The sequence below is a fragment of the Homo sapiens genome, chromosome 19, assembly GCF_000001405.40.
Source record: "Homo sapiens chromosome 19, GRCh38.p14 Primary Assembly".
Classification (NCBI taxonomy): Eukaryota; Metazoa; Chordata; class Mammalia; order Primates; family Hominidae; genus Homo; species Homo sapiens.
In genome coordinates this window covers 8,192,704-8,214,291 of record NC_000019.10, presented here as the reverse complement: position 1 = coordinate 8,214,291, position 21,588 = coordinate 8,192,704, and the positions used below count along the sequence as shown (strand labels likewise).

The 21,588-nt window shown below is 52.3% G+C and overlaps 1 protein-coding gene across 10 annotated transcripts in view, besides 8 other annotated features; it reads right to left on the bottom strand.

The window, feature by feature from the left end:
- The window catches only part of CERS4 (ceramide synthase 4), a 53,052-nt gene extending 48,130 nt beyond the window's left edge, over positions 1–4,922 (bottom strand). For 5 of the 10 annotated variants that reach the window (XM_017027304.2, XM_047439435.1, XM_047439433.1 and 2 more), the window contains exons 1-2: positions 4,798–4,922; positions 3,430–3,586 (exon numbers count right to left, since the gene is read on the bottom strand). The gene's annotated coding sequence lies outside the window, so the exon portion shown is untranslated. Of the gene's footprint in view, positions 1–3,429; positions 3,587–4,343; positions 4,656–4,797 lie in introns of those variants that run through there. The other 5 variants (XM_047439437.1, XM_047439434.1, XM_047439436.1 and 2 more) reach the window with 2 other exon arrangements.
- Positions 4,322–5,241: a silencer, noted in NCBI's record as "silent region_10013". NCBI's record gives its function as "represses an Ori minimal core promoter by ATAC-STARR-seq in GM12878 lymphoblastoid cells {active_cell/tissue: GM12878}" and the evidence as "EXISTENCE:reporter gene assay evidence [ECO:0000049][PMID:35858748]".
- Positions 9,588–10,558: an enhancer, noted in NCBI's record as "NANOG-H3K27ac-H3K4me1 hESC enhancer chr19:8268618-8269588 (GRCh37/hg19 assembly coordinates)". NCBI's record gives its function as "activates a minimal SCP1, AML or CMV promoter by ChIP-STARR-seq in primed H9 embryonic stem cells {active_cell/tissue: H9 hESC(primed)}" and the evidence as "EXISTENCE:reporter gene assay evidence [ECO:0000049][PMID:30033119]".
- Positions 17,366–18,218: an enhancer, noted in NCBI's record as "H3K4me1 hESC enhancer chr19:8260958-8261810 (GRCh37/hg19 assembly coordinates)". NCBI's record gives its function as "activates a minimal SCP1, AML or CMV promoter by ChIP-STARR-seq in naive H9 embryonic stem cells {active_cell/tissue: H9 hESC(naive)}" and the evidence as "EXISTENCE:reporter gene assay evidence [ECO:0000049][PMID:30033119]".
- Positions 18,219–19,072: an enhancer, noted in NCBI's record as "H3K4me1 hESC enhancer chr19:8260104-8260957 (GRCh37/hg19 assembly coordinates)". NCBI's record gives its function as "activates a minimal SCP1, AML or CMV promoter by ChIP-STARR-seq in naive H9 embryonic stem cells {active_cell/tissue: H9 hESC(naive)}" and the evidence as "EXISTENCE:reporter gene assay evidence [ECO:0000049][PMID:30033119]".
- Positions 18,737–18,836: an enhancer, noted in NCBI's record as "active region_13909". NCBI's record gives its function as "activates an Ori minimal core promoter by ATAC-STARR-seq in GM12878 lymphoblastoid cells {active_cell/tissue: GM12878}" and the evidence as "EXISTENCE:reporter gene assay evidence [ECO:0000049][PMID:35858748]".
- Positions 19,447–19,496: an enhancer, noted in NCBI's record as "active region_13908". NCBI's record gives its function as "activates an Ori minimal core promoter by ATAC-STARR-seq in GM12878 lymphoblastoid cells {active_cell/tissue: GM12878}" and the evidence as "EXISTENCE:reporter gene assay evidence [ECO:0000049][PMID:35858748]".
- Positions 19,937–20,056: an enhancer, noted in NCBI's record as "active region_13907". NCBI's record gives its function as "activates an Ori minimal core promoter by ATAC-STARR-seq in GM12878 lymphoblastoid cells {active_cell/tissue: GM12878}" and the evidence as "EXISTENCE:reporter gene assay evidence [ECO:0000049][PMID:35858748]".
- Positions 20,347–20,436: an enhancer, noted in NCBI's record as "active region_13906". NCBI's record gives its function as "activates an Ori minimal core promoter by ATAC-STARR-seq in GM12878 lymphoblastoid cells {active_cell/tissue: GM12878}" and the evidence as "EXISTENCE:reporter gene assay evidence [ECO:0000049][PMID:35858748]".

The window sequence follows — 21,588 nt, the reverse complement described above, 5'->3', positions numbered from 1 at the left end:
AGTCTGTGCTGAATGAACAAATGACAGACAGACAGACAGACAGGGGTGGGAGGAAAGTGGGGCCAGGCACAGGGCAGAAGGGGTCCCCAGGGCATAGCTGATAGGAAATGATCACTCTTCAGACACAGTGTCATGGGACCCTGGATTAAAATCTGTCTCTGGGAGTCCAGGAGGGGGTAGGGAGGGAAAGCTGAGCTGAGCTCCAGGCGGTTCAGTGTGTGTGTGTGTGACAGCATCCTATTAACAAAGGTATAAAGTCCAGACTCAGGGAGGGGAAGGTCTCTTCTATGCTACTCTGTTTTTTGTTTGTTTGTTTTTGAGACAGTGTCTTGCTCTGTCACCCAGGCTGGAGTGCAGTAGTGCAGTAGTGCGATCTTGGCTCACTGCAACCTCTGCCTCCTGGGTTCAAGCAATTCTCCTGTCTCAACCTCCCAAGTAGCTGGGATTACAGGAGCATGCCACCACACAGGGTTAATTTTTATATTTTTAGTAGAGACGGGGTTTCACTATATTGGCCAGGCTGGTCTCGAACTCCTGACCTCAGGTGATCTGCCCGCCTCGGCCTCTCAAAGTGCTGGGATTACAGGCGTGAGCCACCGCGCCGGGCCTCTCTATGCTACTCTGGTCAGAGCCATGATGGGTCTGAGGGGCCTATTCAAGGATGGCAAAGAAAAGCCTGCGCTTGGCCAGGCACAGTGGCTCATGCCTATAATCCTAGTGCTTTGGGAGGTTGAGGCTGGAGGCTCGCTTGAGGCCAGGAGTTCAAGACCAGCCCGGGCAACATAGTAAGACCCCTGTCCATGTGTATAAAATTTTTTTTTAAGGATTAGCTAGGCCTGGTGGTGCATGCCTGTGGTCCCAGCTCTCAGGAGGCTGAGGTTGAGCTCAGGAGGTCGAGGCTGCAGTGAGTTATGATCATGCCACTGCACTCCAACCTGAGCGACAGAGCAAGATTCTGCCTTTGAAAGAAAGAAAGAGGCCGAGTGCAGTGGCTCATGCCTGTAATCCCAGTACTTTAGGAGGCTGAGGCGTTTGAGCTCAATAGTTTCAGACCAGCCTGGGCAACTGGCAAAACTCTACAAAATCACTACAAAAAAATGCAAAAATTAGCCAGGTGTGGTGGCTTATGCCTGTAGTCCCAGGCTGATTGCTTAAACTTGGGAGGTGGAGGTTGCAGTGGGCGAAGATCGCACCACTGCACCCCAGCCTGGGCAACAGAGCCAGAACTTGTCTTGAAAAAACAAAACAAAAACAAGAAAGAAAAGCAAAGAAAAGAGCTTGTACTGAAAGGCATGGGGAACAGAACAGGGTTGGTAAAGAGCAGCCACAAAAGAAAGTGAGACGGGCTGGGCGCAGTGGCTCACACCTGTAATCCCAGCACTTTGGGAGGCCGAGGCAGGTGCATCACCTGAGGTCAGGAGTTCGAGACCAGCCTGGCCAACATGGTGAAACCCACCCCCCTTCATCTCTACTAATAATATAAAAATTAGCCAGGTGTGGTGGTTCGCACCTGTAATCCCAGCTACTCAGGAGGCTGAGGCAGGAGAATTGCTTGAACCCGGGAGGTGGAGGTTGCAGTGGGCCGAGATCGCACCATTGCACTCCAGCCTGGGCGACAAGAACGAAACTCCATTCCAAAAAATAAAAAAAATAATAATTAAAAAAACAGTAAGATGCCTGCTACTGAATTATCAAACAGGGGTTTCAAGACCCTTTCCTCCTATGACAGCCCCAGCTCCCTTGGCTCCCAGCTTGCCACCCACTCCTGGTTTTCCTTCTGCCCTCTTTCTGCTGTCTCCCAAGCTCCCAGCTTGCTTTAAAGCCCATCCTACGCCGTACCACCTGGGTGTCTAGCAGCATGGCAATTTCCAGATGCTGAGAACAGATTGCTGACTTACACCTAAAGCTTCTCCCCCATGAGCAGCTGCTCCCTCCCCCGGCCTCTCCATATCTCTCCAAGATCCACCCAAGTCTCACCCGTCCACGCCTTCACCTGGTCCAGCCCCACCATTACTCCCCTGGCCTGGTGCAGTCCCTTCCATCCTGGTCTCCAGGCTCCTGCCTTCGACCCCTGCAGTCTGTTCCCTGAGCTCTAAATAATGCCAAATGCTTGTTCAAGGCTGGCAGGCTGGCTCTGCCCTTCTTCCTCTCCCCTCTTCTGGATCTTACAACCCTGGCTTTGTGGTTGTTTCATCCAAGCACCCTGGCAGTTTCTCTCCTCTGCAATTTGCCCACTGGTCTCTTGGCCTGGTTAACTCCTCCTTACCCTTAGCGACCCAGCCAACTGTCACCTCCTCCAGGAGGCCTTCCCTGACTCCTCCTTAGGCTGAGTCAGGTGACTCCTCTGGACTCCCCCTGACCCCAGGCATGACTCTGAATTTTTTTTTTTTTTTTTTTTTTTGGAGATAGTCTCACTTTGTTGCCCAGGCTGGAGTGCAGTGGCGCGATCTCGGCTCACTGCAAATTCTGCCTCCCAGGTTCAAGAGATTCTCCTGCCTCAGTCTCCCATGCAGCTGAGATTACAGGTACATGCCACCACGCCCGGCTAATTTTTGTATTTCTAGTAGAGATGGGGTTTCACCATGTTGGCCAGGCTGCTCTCGAACTCCTGACCTTAGGTGATCTGCCTGCCTCAGCTTCCCAAAGTGCTGGGATTACAGGCGTGAGCCACCACGCCCAGCCCCTCCGTGATATTTTAATAGCCTCCAGCTCTGTGATATTCTCGTGATATTTTAATAGCCTGTTTAGCACGTATTCACAACCAGCCAGGCACTGTGTTCAGCTCTTTACCTATAGGTCATGACTGCTATTATCCCATTTTACAGGTGGAGAAACTGAAGCAGGAAGTGGTGAAGTCAGTAGCCCGGAGGCCCTCAACTCAAAGTGGCAGGACAGGGCTGGGGGGTGGTCAGGCTCAAGCCCAGCCAGTCGGAAAGGGAGAAGCTTGTGGTGCTCAGAGAAGGGGACAGGGCAGCGAGCTCCCAAGGCACCTGCCTTTCTGTGCCATCCCACGGGTGGGAGGAGGGAACCTGGGCCCACTTCTGCTGCCAACTACAGGCATCCCAGTGGCTCCTGAGCCAAGACATTCTGTGCCACGCACTGGGTCAACCGCTTTATTCAACCTGCAGACAGCCCTGGGTCAGGAGGTGGACACTGTTGTGAATTTCTCAGAGGAGAAATGGAAGCCCATACATCCCCCTGAACTCCCACCGGGCGTTAGAACCCTCTCCGGTTCCTTAGGGGTGTGGCTGCCACCGAGATCTGCCTAGCCTCGGCTTTCATCGATCCATGAACACTCCCAGGCTCAGATACTACTGACCCATTTTACAGATGGGTAAACTGAAGCTCAGAAACCTTTCCCTGGGGGCCCTACAGCCAGTTCAACGACCAAGGCCGCCCCCCACCCCCCACACCCCAGGCTCAAAGTACCTCTGCTGGCAGTGGGTGAGCTGGAAAAACAGGTAAGGAAAGTCCTCAATGCCTCTTCCTCCACGCCTGGCTGGGCCTGCTGGGGCCCAGGTGCACTGAATGAGGCTTCTAATCAGTCCCCCAGCTCCACTTCTGTGTTTATTCACAGCAGCTGCTCCTGGAAGGCAGACCCATTTGAGGCTGGGGGAGGCCGAGGGCTTCAAAGACAATTCCACAGTCCAGGAACCCTATCCCCATATAACAGACCCAGGTCGCCCCAGTGGGGTCACCCTGGCCTCTGCGCTCAGATGCCTGAGACCTTGCCTGAGCTCAGACTGGAGTCGATGGGAGCATTCCCCCATCTGGTAGGTTTTGCAAACCACAACAGCCTCTCCCCCTGCCCACCTTCCTGTGTCCCCCAGAGCAGCTTCTCCTCAAGTCTCCCAACCCAGCAATGAAAGCCTCTTCTATATACTCCTAACTACCCAGGAGAAACATCGGTCCCCCACGCTCCACTTGCAAACAGACAGAATTAGACGATGTTACTCTGCCAAAGCGAATTTTCAGTTCACCCACTTCCTATCACACCTTCCAGCCAGGTCAAGCCAGAAGCCCCCTTCCAAGTATCCCCATCTCTCCTACCCACAGCGGCTACGGGATGTTCTTAAGACACAATCCGATCACGCCATGCACCTGCTGTTCCAAGCCTCCCTGGTCCCCACCGCCCCGAGAACGGGTTCCACACTCTCCTCGCCGCTTCCCAGGCCCCGGCCAACCTCTCTCCACCTCAGACCCTCCCTCTCCGCGTTTCAGCCAGGCTGGCCTCTTTTCTGCTCCGCACACACTCCCGGCTAGGCCCTGGGCCTAAAAAGCCCTCGCTGGCTGGTCCAACCAGGCCAAATGACATTATCCCCGCCTGGGCACCTCCACCTCACCCCGGCCGCCTGATGGGTTAGCTCGGGCTTGGAATGACGTGTTTAAGCGGTTCTCAGAAGCCGTCTACGCGGCCGGGCTGCGGACTCCGAGGCCAGGGCCCCAGCTGCGTCCCCAGCCCTGGCACGTCGGGGAAACGGGGCGCTCCCCCGGCTCACACATCCGGATTCCCCCGCGTCACGAGGCCAGGATCGCCCCTACTCGCTCCAGCCCGTTTCACAGCCGCGTCCTCGGGCACCCGTTGCGCCCCGGCCCTCGTGGGGGAGCGCGGATAGCTCGGGGAGACGGCCATGATGGGAAGCCCCGAGGGGGACAGTCCCCGGCGGGGTGATGGGGGCTGGAGCCCAGCTGCGAGTGGGGGCCGGGCTGGGGCCGCCATGGCCGCGGAGGCGGGGCCGGGGACCGCCGTGAGGGTGGCGTTCGGGGCGGTGTTCGCGGCGCGGGGTGCTCGCTTACCTGGGGGTGCAGGCGGCCGGGCGCACCGAGGGCCGGCGGCGGGGCTGGGGACGGCGCGCCTAGCGGGCTACCCGGAGCAGCTGCAGACACGCGCCGCCCGCCCCAGGCAGCCGGACTCTGCTCCTGGCCGGGCCTCGGCCCCCAGCAGGGGAAAAAAGGCTTGAGTGGGGGGAGCCCGGGGCGGGGCCGTGGGGGCGGGGCCTGGGCGGGGCACGCGCCCCGGAACGGTGGGGCCTGGCGCGGGGCTGGGGCCCTGGAGAGGCGGGGCCTGGCGCGGGGCGGGGGACTTGGAGGGGCAGGGCCTGGAGCGGGCGCCGGGTCCTCCAGGCGCTTGCCCCCCTCGACGCAACTAGGCCTCTCCCTGGCCCCCGACCCCGCACCCGCACCCCATCCCCGCCCCCGTCCCCGCCCCCCCATTCTCGCCCCCGCCCCCGTTCCCGCTCCGCCCATCTCTGCCCCGCGGCGCGCCTGGCCCGGGTCCAGCCTAGCGTTTCTAGTCTGCGCCTTATCTCTCCCCTTTGAACCCAGTATTGTCCGCTGCGCGCTCCGTCCGGCCCCGGCTTCACCCCTGTTCGCTGTCTGTCTCCCCGGCCCCCTCCCAGGTCCCCTCTTCTGCCCGAGATGCTCTGGCTCTGCTCATCTGTCCACACCCCCACACTCCCGGGGCGCCCTGAGCCTCTGGGGCGCGCAGTTGGATGGTGCACAGGGGAGGCCCAGATTTCTCCAGGCCTCAGCGGCCACCCTGGGTACCCCGAGTCTGGGGCCCTGTTGGAGGGCCAGTCCAGGGGTTCGCCCGAGGCGCGCGCGGGGGCCAACCGAGGCGGTGAGGGCACCGGGCAAAGGCTGCGATTTGGTGGGGTGCAGGGGTCAGGCGACAGAGCTGGGGAGATAAGATGGGAGATAGGCCGGGTGGGTGGTGGCGCAGCCCTGGTTTTGGCTGAGGGCAGCAGCAGTGGGGGCTGGGTCCCCCGCTTGCCTGGTAGAACCGAAAATGACCCAGTCTCAGCAGCGCGCAGGGGCAGGGAGCCTGGGCGATCCCTGAACAGAGGACAGCCCCAGGGGTTTTCATAGTCGCTGGCCCACCGCATGTACTCTGGGCAAGTGGCTTCGCCTTTGGACAATAAGCCTCTGTAAAATGGGGATAATAAACCTTTCTCTGACTCAGCTCAGCAGACCCAAGACCCATGGGGTGAAGTTGGGGCCTCCCTGCCACAGGGCCCTAGGCAAGCTGAGATTTGATTTCCTCACACAGACAGGGGCGCGGGGGGCGGGGCGGTCAGGGAGGCAGGAGACCTCTGTTGCAAGTGTGGAAGAACCTGTCCCTCCAAGTTCAGACTCCTGGCGTTTGCACTTGGCCTTCCCTCTGCTACACTGTTTCTCTTTTCTTTTTTCTTTTTCTTTTTTTTTTTTTGAGACGGAGTCTTGCATTGTGGCCCGGGCTGGACTGCAATGGCATGATCTCGGCTCACTGCAACTTCTGCATCCTGGTTTCATTCGATTCTCCTGCCTCAGCCTCCCGAGTAGCTAGGATTACAGGCGCCCACAACACCCGGCTAATTTATATATATATATATTTTTTTTTTTGGAGAGACGGGGGTTTCACAATGTTGGCCAGACTGATCTCAAACTCCTGACCTCGTGATCCACCAGCCTTGGCTTCCCAAAGTGCTGGGATTACAGGCGTGAGCCAGCATGCCCGACCTTCTCTTTTCTTTTTTTAAAAAAATCTGTTAGAGGCTGGGTGCGGTGGCTCACACCTGTAATCCCAGCACTTTGGGAGGCTGAGGCGGGTGGATCACCTGAGGTCAGGAGTTTGAGACCAGCCTGGCCAACGTGGCAAAATCCCATCTCTACTAAAAACACAAAAATTAGCCTGGAGTAGAATTACGTGAACCCAGGAGGCAGAGGTTGCAGTGCGTGGAGATCGTGCCACTGCACTCCAGCCTGGACAACAGAGTGAGACTCTATCAAAAAAAATTTCGTTAAAGATGGGAGTCTCACTCTGTTGCCCAGGCTAGAATGGAATGTCATGATCCCAGCTCATTGCAGCCTGGGACTCCAGGGCTCAAGCAGTCCTCTCACCTCAGCCTCCAGAGGAGCTAGGACTATAGATGCCTGCCACCATGCCCGGCTAATTTTTTTTTGTTTTAAATAAAAAAACTTTGGTAGGCAGGGTGTGGTGGCTCATGCCTGTAATCCCAGCACTTTGGGAGGCCGAGGCAGGTGGATCACGTGAGGTCAGGAGTTCGAGACCAGCCTGGCCAATATGGCGAAACCCCTTCTCTACTAAAAATACCAAAGTTAGCTGGGCATGGTGTTGCGCACCTGTAATCCCAGCTACTCGAGAGTCTGAGGCAGGAGAATCACTTGAACCCAGGAGGCGGAGGTTGCAGTGAGTCAAAATCGTGCCGCTGCACTCCAGCCTGGGTGACAGAGCAAGACTCTGTCTCAATTAAAAAAAACAAAAAAAAAAACTTTGGTAGAGGTGGGGTCTTGCTATGTTGCCCAGGCTGGTCTGGAACGCTTAGGCTCAAGTGATCCTTCCGCCTCCGCTTTCCAAGGTGCTGGGATTACAGGCAAGAGCCACTGTGCCCCAGCCTCTTTCCCTTTTCAAATGCATACATACTTCTCCCTGAGCCTCAGTCCCCTCCTCCTTCCTCCATTGCCTGCTTTACCCCACCCCCACCATATTCACCTGTTTATTTTCTCCTCTCCTTCCCTCCAAGAGCTTGTTTGCACACCTGGAAAAGAAAGATAATAAAGCAACTCTTCTCAGTTGTTGTGACTAGGGAGTTATTGAATATCACATGTCGCATACTCCAGGGTGCTCAGAGCATGGCATTTGTTTGTATTAATAATAATATATGACCGGGCTTGGTCGCTCACACCTGTAATCCTAGCACTTTGGAAGGCTGAGGTGAGTGGATTGCTGGAGCTCAGGAGTTTGAGACAAGCCTCGGTAACATGGCAAGAGCCCCATCTCTACCAAAAATACAAAAATTAGCCAAGCGTGGTGGTGTGCTCCTATAGTCCCAGCTACTCAGAAGGCTGAAGTGGGAGGATCACTTGAGCCCAGAAGTCAAGGCTGAGGTGAACTATGATCATGCCACTGAACTCCAGCCTGGGCAACAGAGTGAGATCCTGTCTCAATTAAAAAAAAAAAAAAGAGACACCAGCCTGGGCAACATAGTGAGACCCCGGTATCTACAAACAATAACGATAATATAATACAGGATACATGGTGGAATGGTGGAGTCCACGCCCCAGTGGAGAAGCCCCAGGACTCCGGAGAAGTGGAGTAGGGGAGCTCAAAAGAGGACCTGGGCAGGCCAGGGCTGGAGAGAGATTTCAGGTGGAAGGTACCACATGGGGCAAAGGTTGGGAAGCTGGAGGAAGACACCTGGGGTCAGCCAGGCAGGAAGGGACCCAGGCTGCACCTTCTGCAGTTGGGCAGCTTCTCGCCTGTCCTCACCTTCCACCCCGATCCCTGACCATGGAGCTCAGGCCGGACCCCAAGCTTGAGAGTGAGTGGGTGTTCAAGGCAGGCTTCCTGGAAGAGGTGACATCTGAGCCCTGAGAAATGAGCGGGTGGGGGAACTATACTGAGAGGAAGTTTCCTGGGAGGACAGCAGGGCTGGCCCAGCCACAATAAGCCCTCCTGGGTTCTCTCCAGGGAGAGGCACCAATGGACTTACTGATTTATTTTGAGATGGAGTCTCACTCTGTCATCCAGGCTGGAGTGCAGTGGCACGATCTCAGCTCACTGCAACCTCTGCCTCCTAGGTTCAAGTGATTCTCCTGCCTTGGCCTCCCGAGTAGCTGGGATTACAGGCGCACACCACCACGCCCGGCTAATTTTTGTATTTTTTGTAGAGACGGGGTTTCACCATGTTGGAGAGGCTGGTCTTGAACTCCTGACCTCGAGTGATCCCTCAAGGGATTATGGGCATGAGTCAATGCACCTGGCCAACAATTGGACTTAAAATTAGGAAAGAACAGAGTGGGAGGCTGGGAAGGTGTCACTCTACCGTGGGCAGCTGGATGGGAGGACCTGGGGCCTGGTTCGGGGGTGATGAATAGGAGAAGAGGGAGGGATTCCAGGGGGCTTTAGAGGTAAAATTACCAGAACTCAGGCGATGAGGGGAGGCTAGTGGTGGCAGTGAGGGCCACCTCCTCTGCTCGCCTTTCTCCAAGGGTCCCCCCTGCTCCATGCCTAAATATCCTCATCTACCCGAATAGGTACTTGGCACCTGATCTCTCCCACCTGCCACCTGTCCCCTGCCCAGCTTCCCAGGGCACTTGGCAACCCAGCATGAGTCCAGCAAGCAGGCTAACCGGTTCTCATTGATGATGTCTCCTGCCAAGCCAGGCCCTGCACCCACCTGAGGTTCCTAGTGGTTGAGTGGAATCACAGCCCTAGAACCCTGGGTGAGGAGAGGGCAGTGGCAAACCTTGTCCTGGAGCAGTGACAACCTGGTCAGTGCCAGGGCCTGTGCAAAGTGATGTAAAAAGATGGATATGACCGGCCCTCTCTGTGAAGCAGGTGCACTTAAACTTCCCATTTTAGGCCAGCTGTGATGGCTCAAGCCTTGTAGTCCCAGCACTTTGGGAGGCCAAGGTGGGAAGATCGCTTGAGCCCAAGAGGTTTTTCATTTTTTTCTTTTTTGAAACGGAGTCTCACTTGGTTACCCAGGCTGGAGTGCAACCTCTGCCTCCTGGGTTCAAGCGATTCTACTGCCTCAGGAGCAGCTGGGATCACAGGGGTGCACCACCATGCCTGGCTAATTTTTGTATTTTTAGTAGAGATGGGGTTTCACCATGTTGGCCAGGCTGGTCTCAAACTCCTGACCTCAGGTAGTCCGCCCGCCTCCCAAAGTTCTGGGATTACAGGCATGAGCCACCACGCCCAGCCTAAAGAATTTTAAGAATTAGCTGGCATGTACCTGTAGTCCTAGCTACTTGGAAGGCTGAGTCAGGAGGATTACTTGAGTCCAGGAGGTCGAGGCTGCAGTGAGCCATGATTGCGCCACTGCACTCCAGCCCGGGTAATAGAGCGAGACCCTGTCTCAAAGAAAAAAAAAAAAAGAAAAATCCCATTTTAGAGATGAGCCCAGAGTGGTGCAGGAAGCTACACAAAGCCACACAGCCACAAGGTGGATGAACTGGGAGGAGGTGCTTTTAACCTAGCTCTGCCTGCCATTATCTCCATTCAGCAAAGAAGAAAAACCTTGGCCGGGCACGGTGACTCATGCCTGTAATCCCAGCTACCCAGGAGGCTGAGGCAGGAGAATCGCTTGAACCCAGGAGGCGGAGGTTGCAGTGAGATCGCACCACTGCCCTCCAGCCTGGGTGACAAAGTGAGACTCCATCTCAAAAAAAAAAAAAAAAAAAAGGACAAAACCACAAAAACAAAACCTGGAGCCAGCTGCATTGTCACCAGCTATCCCACGTTCTGGGGACTGAGGAATTTCCTGCAACACAGAATGTCAAGCCTCCGAGTCCAAGCCTGCACGTGTATTTCTAGATGGCCTGAAGCAACTGAAGAATCACAAAAGAAGTGAAAATGCCTGGTTCCTGCCTTAACTGATGACATTACCTTGTGAAATTCCTTCTCCTGGCTCAGAAGCTCCCCCACTGAGCACCTTGTGACCTCCGCCCCTGCCTACCAGAGAACAAACCCCTTTGACTGTAGTTTTCCACTACCTACCCAAATCCTATAAAACAGCCTCACCCCATCTTCCTTCGCTGACTCCTTTTTTGGACTCAGCCCGCCTGCACCCAGGTGATTGAAAAGCTTTACTGCTCACACAAAGCCTGTTTGGCGGTCTCTTCACATGGATGCGCATGACATGGAATTTTTAGGGCTAATGTCAGGACAGTCCCAAGCAAACCATGACGCTTGGTCACCCTACCAATGTAATGCCCAACCTTGTTTTTACTAACCCTGTTTTTAGACTCTCCCTTTCCTTTAATCACCTAGCCTTGTTTCCACCTGAATTGACTCTCCCTTAGCTAAGAGAGCCAGACAGACTCCATCTTGGCTCTTTCACTAGCAGCCTCTTCCTCAAAGACTTAACTTGTGCAAGCTGACTCCCAGCACATCCAAGAATGCAATTAATCGATAAGATACTGGGGCGAGCAATATCTGCAGTTCCCAGGAATTCGTCTGATTGATAACGCCCAAAGCCCCGCGTCTATCACCTTGCAATAGTCTTAAAGCCCCTGCACCTAGAACTGTTTACTTTCCTATAACCATTTATCCTTTTAGCTTTTTTGCCTACTTTACTTCTGTAAAATTGTTTTAACTAGACCCCCCCTCCCCTTTCTAAACCAAAGTATAAAAGAAAATCTAGTCCCTTCTTCAAGGCCAAGAAAACTTTAAACGTTAGCCGTCTCTTGGCCGCCAGCTAAATAAACGGACTCTTAATTCGTCTCAAAGTGTGGCGTTTTCTCTAACTCGCTCAAGTACAACACCAAGAGGTGAGATGACTTGCCCAAGGTCACACAGCTACCACAAGCGCCCCTGTGCCAGCACTCGCCTATTTAAGACACCATCCCCTCTCCTAGACTCGATGGGGAGGACTTTAGGGTAACCCTGGAAGCAGTTGGGTTTTTTTCTCTTTGTGTCAAAATATCCTTTCTAAAAAACATTTCAATAGTTTTTGGGGTACAGGTGGTTTTTGGCTACATGGCCAAATAACCACTAAAGAATTGATTAGTGGTGATTTCTGAGACTTTGGTGCACCCGTCACCTGAGCAGTATACACTGTACCCGATATGTGTGTGTGTGTGTTTTGAGATGGGGTTTCACTCTTGTTGCCCAGGCTGGAGTACAGTGGCGCCATCTCTGCTCACTGCAACCTCCGCCTCCGGGGCTCAAGTGATTCTCCTACCTCAGCCTCCTGAGTAGCTGGGATTACAGGCAAGCGCCACCACACCTGGCTAATTTTTTTTGTATTTTTAGTAGAGACGGGGTTTCTCCATGTTGGTCAGGCTGGTGTTGAACTCCCAACCTCAGGTGATCCACCCGCCTCGGCCTCCCAAAGTGTTGGGATTACAGGCAGGAGCAACCGCGCCTGGCCGATATATGGTCTTTTATCCCTCACCTCCCTCCCCACCCTTTCCCTCTGAATTCCTGTTTTCTTTCTTTCCTTCTTTTTGTCCTTCCTTCCTGCCTTCCTTCCCTCTCTATCTCCCTCTTTCTTGCTTGCTTTTTTTTTTTTTTTGAGACGGAGTCTCACTCTGTCGCCAGGCTGGAGTGCAGTGGCGTGATCTCGGCTCACTGCAAGCTCTGCCTCCCAGGTTCACGCCATTCTCCTGCCTCAGCCTCCCGAGTAGCTGGGACTACAGGCGTCCACCACCACGCCCAGCTAATTGTTTGTATTTTTAGTAGAGACGGAGTTTCACTGTGTTAGCCAGGATGGTCTCGATCTCCTGACCTTGTGATCCACCCACCTCCGCCTCCCAAAGTGCTGGGATTACTGGTGTGAGCCGCCGCGCCCGGCCTCTTTTTTTGAGACAGGATCTCCCTCTGTCACCCAGGCTGGAGGGCAGTGGCACAATCATAGCTCACAGAAGCCTCCACAACTCCTGGGCTCAAGTGATCCTCCTGCCTCAGCCTCTAGAATAGCTGGGACTACAGGCATGCACCACTACACCTAGCTCATTTATGTATTTATTTATTTTCTGTAGAGATGGGGGTCTCCTTCCTGCCTTTTTCTTTCTTGGGAAACTGAGTGTTTTACTTTGTGTTGCTTGGTAACAGCTTTAGAGATATAATTTTCATACCATCCAGTTTGCCTATTTCAAGTTTTCAAGTCGAAGGTTTTTGATCCATTCACAGAGTTCAGCAGTTCTCACCATCTTGTTCTTCTTTTATTTGACAAATATTAATTGTATATACTTACCAGGTACAGTGTGATCTTTTGATATATGCATACTTTGGGAACCACTTTGCTCTTTTTCTGTTTCGTTTTGTTTTTCTTTTTCTTTTCTTTCAGAGATAGGGTCTCATTCTTTCGCCCAGGCTGGAGTGCAGTGGTGTGATCATAGCTCACTGCAGCCTCGACCTCCTGGGCTCAAGTGATCCTCCCACCTCAGCCTCCTGGGTAGCTGGGACTACAGTGTGCACTATCATGGCCAGCTAATTTTTTAAAGTTTTGTAGAGATGGGGTCTCACTGTGTTGCCCAGGCTGGTCTCAAACCTGTGGCCTCAAGTGAGCCTCCCACTTTGGCCTCCCAAAGTGCTGTGATTACAGGTGGGAGGCAGTGCACCTGTCCCCATATTGTTCTTTTTAGCGGCTACATAGGATGCCACGGTTGAGCCAGACTTTGCTTATCAGTTTCCTATTGATGGACTAGGCGATTTTCGTTGTTTGTTGTTGTTGTTTGGTTGCATTTTTGGAGACAGAGTCTTGCTCTTGTCACCCAGGCTGGAGTGCAGTGGCACGATCTCGGCTCACTGCAACCTCTGCCTCCCCAGTTCAAGTAATTCTCCCGACTCAGCCTCCCCAGTAGGTGGGATCATAGGTGCCTGCCACCAAGCCCGGCTAATTATTGTGGTTTTAGTAGAGACGGGGTTTTGCCATGTTGGTCAGGCTGGTCTCGAACTCCTGACCTCAGATGGTCTGTCCGCCTCAGCCTCCCAAAATGCTGGGATTACAGACCTGAGCCACCACGCCTGGTCTAGGCGGTTGTTTTTGATCCAAGCAACGATGAATTGAATAACCTGCCGTAGAGGTCATATGTCAACCCAGCATGAAGAGATCTCATCAGTAAATTCCTAGAAGTGGAATTACTTGTCAAAGGGTGTGAGCAGGTGTATCGTGGATAACTATTGCCAAAGGTTTCTCCACAAAGGACTCATCCTCCACATGTTATCAAACATTCTAATCTTTGCTAACTGAGAGGTTTAAAAGTATGTAGTTCTCATTTGCATTTTTATTTTTTATTTTATTTATTTATTTATTTTTTTGAGACGAAGTCTCTCTCTTGTCCCCCAGGCTGGGGTGCAATGGCGTGATCTCGGCTCGCTGCAACCTCCACCTGCCTGGTTCAAGCGATTCTCCTGCCTCAGCCTCCCAAGTAGCTGGCACCACAGGCGCCTGCCACCATGCCCGGATAATTTTTATATTTTTAGTAGAGACGGGGTTTCACCATGTTGGCCAGGATGGTCTTGAACTCCTGACCTCAGGTGATCTGCCCACCTCGGTCTTCCAAACTGCTGGGATTACAGGCATGAGCCACCGCGCCTGGCCTGCATTTTTATTATTTCGAGTGAGGTTGAACATCTCTGTGTTTAAAAACTGGATCTCAGAGCCAGGCACGGTGGCTCATGCCTGTAATTCCAGCACTTTGGGAGGTCAAGGCCAGAGGATGGCTTAAGGTCAGGAGTTTGAGATGAGCCTGGGAAATAGTTAGGTTCTGTCTTTCTTTTTTTTGGAGACGGAGTCTCGCACTCTCGTCCAGGCTGCTGGAGAGCAGTGGCGCGATCTCAGCTCACTGCAAGCTCCGCCTCCCAGGTTCACGCCATTCTCCTGCCTCAGCGTCCCGAGTAGCTGGGACTACAGGCGCCTGCCACCACACCCAGCTACTTTTTTGTATTTTTTTTTTTTAGTAGAGACGGGGTTTCACCGTGTTAGCCAAGATGGTCTCGATCTCCTGACCTTGTGATCCACCTGCCTCAGCCTCCCAAAGCGCTGGGATTACAGGTGTGAGCCACTGTGCCCAGCCTGGTTCTGTCTTTCTATATACACATTTGTAAGTGGATCTTGTCCAGACGTGGTGGCTCATGCCTGTAGTCTCAGCTACTCAGGAGGCTCAGGGAGGACGATCACTTGAGTCAGGAGTTTGCAGCTGCAGTGAGCTATGATTGCACCAGTGCCCTCTAGACTGGGCAACAGAGCAAGACACTGTCTCTAAAGTAAAACTTTTTTTTTTTTTTGAGATGGAGTCTTGCTCTGTCACCCAGGCTGGAGTGCAATGGTGTGATCTCAGTTTACTGCAACCTCCACCTGCCGGGTTCAAGAGATTCTCCTGCCTCAGCCTCCCAAGTAGCTGGGATTACGGGTGCCCGCCACCATGCTTAGCTAATTTTTTCTATTTTTAGTAGAGACAGGGATTTACCATGTTGGCCAGGCTAGTCTCGAACTCCTGACCTCGGGTGATTCACCCGCCTCAGCCTCCCATGAGCCACCATGTCTGGCCTTTAAAATAAAACATTTTTAAACGTGGACCTCTAGTCTTTCCCTGGAAACGTTTTTTTTTTGTTTGTTTGTTTGTTTTTCTGCAGGCGACAGCCTTTTTGTTATTGATTTATAGAGCCTCTTTACTTTTACTGTGGTAAAATATATATAGAAGCTCTTTTTAGTATTAAAGAAATTACTTCTTATTCTGTGAGCTTCAATCTTCTTCCTCCATTTTTTTTTTTTGTTGTTGTTGTTTTTTGAGATGGAGTCTTGCTCTGTCACCCAGGCTGGAGTGCAGTGGTGTGATCTTGGCTCATTGCAGCCTCTGCCTCCTGGATTCAAGAGATTCTCCTGCTTCAGCCTCCCGAGTAGCTGAGATTATAGGCGTGCACCACCATGCCCAGCTAATTTTTGCATTTTTAGTAGAGACAGAGTTCACCATTTTGGTCAGGGTGGTTTCGAACTCCTGACCTCAGGTGATCCACCTGCCTCAGCCTCCCAAAGTGCTGGGATTACAGGCTTGGGCCACCATGCCCAGCCCTTTGGTGACTTTTATGTTTATTTTATTCTTAGAAAGGCCTTTCCTGTGCATTCAGTTGTACATCAGCCCCCGACCTACCCCAAAAAAAGCCTTTGCGGCTAAGCCCCATGGCTCATACCTGTAATCCCAGCACTCTGGGAGGCTGTGGGAGCATTGCTTGAGACCAGGAGTTCAATGCTGGAGTGAGCTGTGAGCTGTGATTGTACCACTGCACTCCAGCCTGGGTGACAGAGTGAGACTCTTGTCTGAAGAAAAATAAAAATTAAAAATAATTTGAGGCCGGGTGCGGTGGCTCATGCCTGTAATCCCAGCACTTTGGGAAGCTGAGGCGGGTGGATCACGAGTTCAGGAGATCGAGACCATCCTTGCTAACATGTTGAAACCCCATTTCTACTAAAAATACAAAAAAATTAGCCAGGTGTGGTGGCAGGCGCGCCTGTAGTCCCAGCTACTTGGGAGGCTGAGGCAGGAGAATGGCGTGAACCCAGGAGGTGGAGCTTACAGTGAGCCAAGATCGCGCCACTGGACTCCAGCCTGGGCGACAGAGCGAGACTCTGTCTCAAAATAATAATAATAATAATAATAATAATAATAATAATAATAATTTGAGTGTATTTCAGTGTGGGGAAGGGCTTTTTTTTTTTTTTTTTTTTTTTGAGACAGAGTCTTGCTCTGTCATCCAGGCTGGAGTGCAGTGGCGCGATCTCGGCTCACTGCAAGCTCCACCTCCTGGGTTCAAGGGATTCTCCTGGCTCAGCCTCCTGAGTAGCTACGATTACAGGCACGAGCCACCATGCCCGGCTCATTTTTTTTTGTATTTTTAGTAGAGACAGGTTTCGCCATGTTGGCCAGGCTGGTCTCGAACTCCTGATCTTGTGATCCGCCCACCTTCACCTCCCAAAGTGCTGGGATTACAGGCATGAGCCACTGCACCTGGCCGGCTTTTTGTTTCTTTTCTTTCTGTTGTTTTGTTTTTCAGAGATAGTGTCTTGCTCTGTGGCCCAGGCTGGAGTGCAATGGTGAGATCATAGCTTACTGCAGCCAGGACCTCCTGGGTTCAAATAATCCTCCCGCCTCAGCCTCCTGAGTAGATGGGACACAGGCATAAGCCACCACGTCAGGCCATGCATGACCTTCTTAGAAGGCCAGCAATCATTGGATCATATCACACTTTAATCCAGGATAACCTCATCTTAACTTGGTTACAACTGCAAAGACTCTGTTTCTAAATAAGGTTAAATTCACACGTGCCCAGCTTTAACAAATCTCCTTGGAGGACACAATTCAAACCACACTACCTACAAGCATTTTTTTTTTTTTTTTTGAGACAGAGTCTCGCTCTGTCGCCCAGACTGGAGTGCAGTGGTTTGATCTCGGCTCACTGCAAGCTCCGCCTCCCGGATTCACGCCATTCTCCTGCCTCAGTCTCCCGAGTAGCTGGGACTGCAGGCGCCCGCCACCACGCCTGGCTAATTTTTTGTATTTTTACTAGAGACGGGTTTTCACCATGTTAGCCAGGATGGTCTCGATCTCCTGACCTCGTGATTCACCCGTCTCGGCCTCCCAAAGTGCTGGGATTACAGGCATGAGCCACTGCGCCTGGCTGCATTTTTTTTTAAATGTGTTCATTTTTCCAAAAATTGACTCTCTAGAATCATGCTGGAAAGTTAAATGTAAACTATTGCATACAAATTTGCAGAGGAAAAAAATGCCTTCCCTTCAAAAAAAAAACCTTTCAATGAATTATTTCTTTTTTTGGTTTTGAGAGTTAGCTTGTAATCTCCATTATAGCCCGCATCTTGTTAACTACAGCATGGAATGGATTCATTGTCATATTGGTACTTTCCAGAAGATACAGTTCTTTCCCATCAATGCTTTTTGCCTCTGTTCTGGGGTTTTCGTGCGTGTTTAATTAGAGGGGGCTTCTTTTCTGGGATCAGTGAGCCAAAGCTAATGAACAGGCTCCTTGGTCAATCCAGGTCAGTACTGGGGGCGTTTGATGGGGAGGTGTGGGTGAGAACAGGATGTTCGAGGCATGAGTAGGATCCCAAAGAGGAAGTGTCCCTCAGCTGAGGGGGTGGGTGAGTGTGAAGAGGAGCTGTGGAGGAGAGAAGGGGCTCCACTGAAACAAAAGTTGGGCCGGTGTAGTGTGGCTCATGCCTGTAATTCCCATGCTTTGGGAAGCCAATGTGGGAGGATTGCTTAAGGGCAGGAGTTTGAGACCAGCCTGGGCAACATAGAGACCCCATCTCTACAAAAACAAACAAACAAAACCAGACCTGGCGGCACGTGCTTTCGGCCCCAGCTACTTGGGAGGCTGAAGTGGGAGGATCGATTGAGCACAGTTCTAGGATGCAGTGGGCTATGATGGTACCACTGCATTCCAGCATGGGTGACCCTGTCTCAAAAAAACAACAAGGCCAGGTGCAGTGGCTCATGCCTGTAATCCCAACACTTTGGGAGGCCGAGGCAGGCAGATCACTTGAGGTCAGGAGTTCGAGACTAGCCTGGCCAACATGGTGAAACCTCCTCTCTACTAAAAATACAAAAATTAGCCAGGCATGGTGGAGGGTTCCTGTAATCCCAGCTACTCGGGAGGCTGAGGCAAGAGAATTGGTTGAACCTGGGAGGTGGAGACTGCAGTGAGCCGAGATCGCACCACTGCAGTCCAGCCTGGGCAACAAGAGCAAAACTCCATCTCAAAAAAATAAAAATAAAAATTAAGCCAGGCGTGGTGGCTCATGCCTATAATCCCAGCACTTTGGGAGGCTGAGGCGGGTGGATCACGAGGTCAGGAGATCGAGACCATCCTAGCTAACACGGTGACACCCCGTCTCTAGGAAAAATACAAAAAATTAGCCAGGCGTGGTGGTGGGCACCTGTAGTCCCAGCTACTCCGGAGGCTAAGGCAGGAGAATGGTGTGAACCCGGGAGGCGGAGCTTGCAGTGAGCCAAGATCGCGCCACTGCACTCCAGCCTGGGTGACAGAGCGAGAATCCGTCTCAAAAAAAAAAAAAATAGAGTGACCAGGGCTGCAGGGTGGGAGGTGAGTGGAGAGAACGGAGCAAAACAGAGTCCGGTTCCGAGATGAGGGTGTCTGGAGTCTGGGGGACCCAGGGAAGGGAGGAGGGGGAGGCAGAGGATGGGAAGGTCTACCCCCCAGGCCTGGACTATGCTGGGCAGGCGGGCCTGGCTCGGTGCCCATCTCTGGGCAGGGAGCACAGGGTGAAAGCAGATCTGGAGGGAAGATGTGGCATTGGATGTTAGAAGGTGCAGATCTCCAGGGGGCTGTGGGAGGTGCACATAGAGGAAGCTCAGAGTGTGTGTCTGGGCTGGAGACAGGATGTCCTTGGTGTCTGCTCAGAAGGGAGGTGCACGGTAGTTGAAGGCCCCTTGGGTAAAGACAGGAGGAAGTATGGGGAGAAGCTAGTCCCAGCTGCAAGGCAGACACCTGGTTGGGGTGTGTTTCATCTCTCATGCCACTGTACTCCAGCCTGGGCGATAGAGTGAGACTCTGTCACAAAAAAAAAAAAAAAAAAAAAAAAGACAGGGTCTCACTCTGTTGCCCAGGCTGGAGTACAGTGGCATAATCATAGCTCACTGCAACCTCCAGCTCTCAGGCTCAAGCCATCTTCAGCCTCCCAAGTAGCTGGGACTACAGGTTCATGCCACATTTTAAATTTTGTTAGAGATGGGGTCCCACTAAGTTGCTCAGGCTGCAGACACTATTTGAAATGAACTCATCTGATCCTGCAACAGCCTTGTGAGGTGGGTCCTCTTAATTCCTCTTTGACAGGTGAGGAAACCGAAGCCCAGAGAGGTTAGGACACTGGCCCAAAGTCACACAGCCTGTGAGCCGCTGGAACCAGAACCTAGGAGCTGTGTTTCTGCTTTCGTGCAGACAGATGCATTTTCCTTTAATACTTCACTTTTTAGATGCAGAAGGGCAGGATCAGGGAGGTGGAGCGACTTGCCCAAGGTCTGGCAGTGAGTTAGTGGCCTTCCAAGCCTGTGTGTCTGAGCAAGGCTATGGGCTCTAGTTGAGAACGGGCAAAAACAGCGGTCTTGAAGGAAGCCTGCCTGATATCCGTGTCAGTGAGGATGTGGGCTGCCGGGCTGGGCGGTGGAGGAGGGTGGCTGGAGATAGGCTGGGGCATGTCAAGTCTGAACATTTAGAGTATGAACTAGACATAAGACAGCCCTGACTGGGCACGGTGGCTCATGCCTGTAATCTTAGCACTTTGGGAGGCTGAGGTGGGCAGATTGCCTGAGTTCAGGAGTTCGATACCAGCCTGGGCAACACGGTGAAACCCTATCTCTACTAAAATACAAAAAATTAGCCGGGCGTGGCGGCGTGTGCCTGTAATCCCAGCTACTCGGGAGGTTAAGGCAGGATAATTGCTTGAACCCGGGAAGCAGAGGTTGCAGTGAGCCGAGATGGTGCCACTGCACTCCAGCCTGGGTGACAGAGCGAGACTCCATCTCAAAAAAAATAAAAAAATAAAAAAATAAAAAATAAAAGAAATAGCCCTAACCCCACCCCCTTGTGACATCCCCAACTAGGCTGGACTTCCCCCATGTCTGCAACAGGCTGGGGCATCCTCCGGAAATGAGTGCGGGAGGGAGGCCAGGGCTGGGCCAGCAGAGTTGGGGGAGGGGATGGGAGTGCAGGGCTGGGGACACAGGAAGAGGCTGCAGGAAAAGAGGGGCAGTGTCCAAGCTCAGGGTCTCGGGACCTTTGGGGTTTCTGCCTTGTCCCCCTGCAACTCTGGAGGAGCAAGAGGCCTGGGGTTTCTCAGTTCTTTCCAGCCCAGGAGTCCCCTGGGGTGGCTCAGGGAGTGGGGACTTCCCTGGAGGAAAGGACCATGGAGTGAGCATCTAAACTTTTGCATTTGACTCAGAGCTTTGTCTCTTATTTTGTAAAACCCCAGTGTATGTGTGATATGTGTGCACTGACTACAAAAAAAAAAAAAAGAAAAAAGAAAGAAAAGAAACCTAGGCCAGGCACGGAGGCTCGTGCCTGTAATCCCAGCACTTTGGGAGGCCAAGGTGGGCGGATCACCTGAGGTCAGGAGTTTGAGACTAGCCTGGCCAACATGAGAAAACCCCATCTCTACCAAAAATACAAAAATTAGCTGGGCTTGGTGGCGGGTGCCTGTAATCCCAGCTACTCAGGATGCTGAGGCAGGAGAATCGCTTGAACCTGGGAGGCAGAGACTGCAGTGAGCTGAGATCATGCCACTGCACTCCAGCCTGGGCAACAGAGCGAGACTCAGTCTTAAAAAAAAAAAAAAAAAAACGAAAAACCCAAAAAACCTACTATCCCCATATATAACCAATTTGTGCTGTGCACCAACAAGAACCTGCTTTAAATTTCCATTGCAATTTACAACCCCCATATTATACCAGGCAAGGTTAGTGGCTGTTGAAAATACCACCAGGACAGGGCTATCTAAAGACACATTCAGTAGTGCATTAACTGTACAAAAAAAAAAAAAGACACTGTGTAGTTTCAAAACAAATCTTACACAGCCTTACATTTCAATTTTTTCTTTTCTTTCTTTTTTTTTTTTTTGAGACTGGGTCTCACACTGTCGCCCAGGCTAGTGTACAGTGGCGTGATCTCAGCTTGCTGCAACCTCCGCCTCACAGGTTCAAGCGATTCTCCTGCCTCAGGCTCACGAGTAGCTGGGACTACAGGCACAAGCCACCACGCCCGGCTAATTTTTGTATTATTAGTAGAGATGGGGTTTCACTATGTTGGCCAGGCTGGTCTTGAACTCCTCACCTTGTGATTCACCCACCTCGGCCTCCCAAAGTGCTGGGAGTACAGGCATGAGCCACTGTGCCCGGCCTCAGTTTTTTTCTTTAAAAAGAGTGAATTGTGTACAAGGGGGTTAAATGCTTAATGGAAAAGAAAAATGAAAGAAAGAAAGAAGAAAAAGAAAGAAAGAAAGAACGAAGGAAAAAGGAAGGAAGGAAGGAACTGCTAGAACCAACTTATTCATCATCGTCTTCTTAATCTTCCCAGCCCAAAGCCTCCTGGGCCCCTAGATCCGGGTA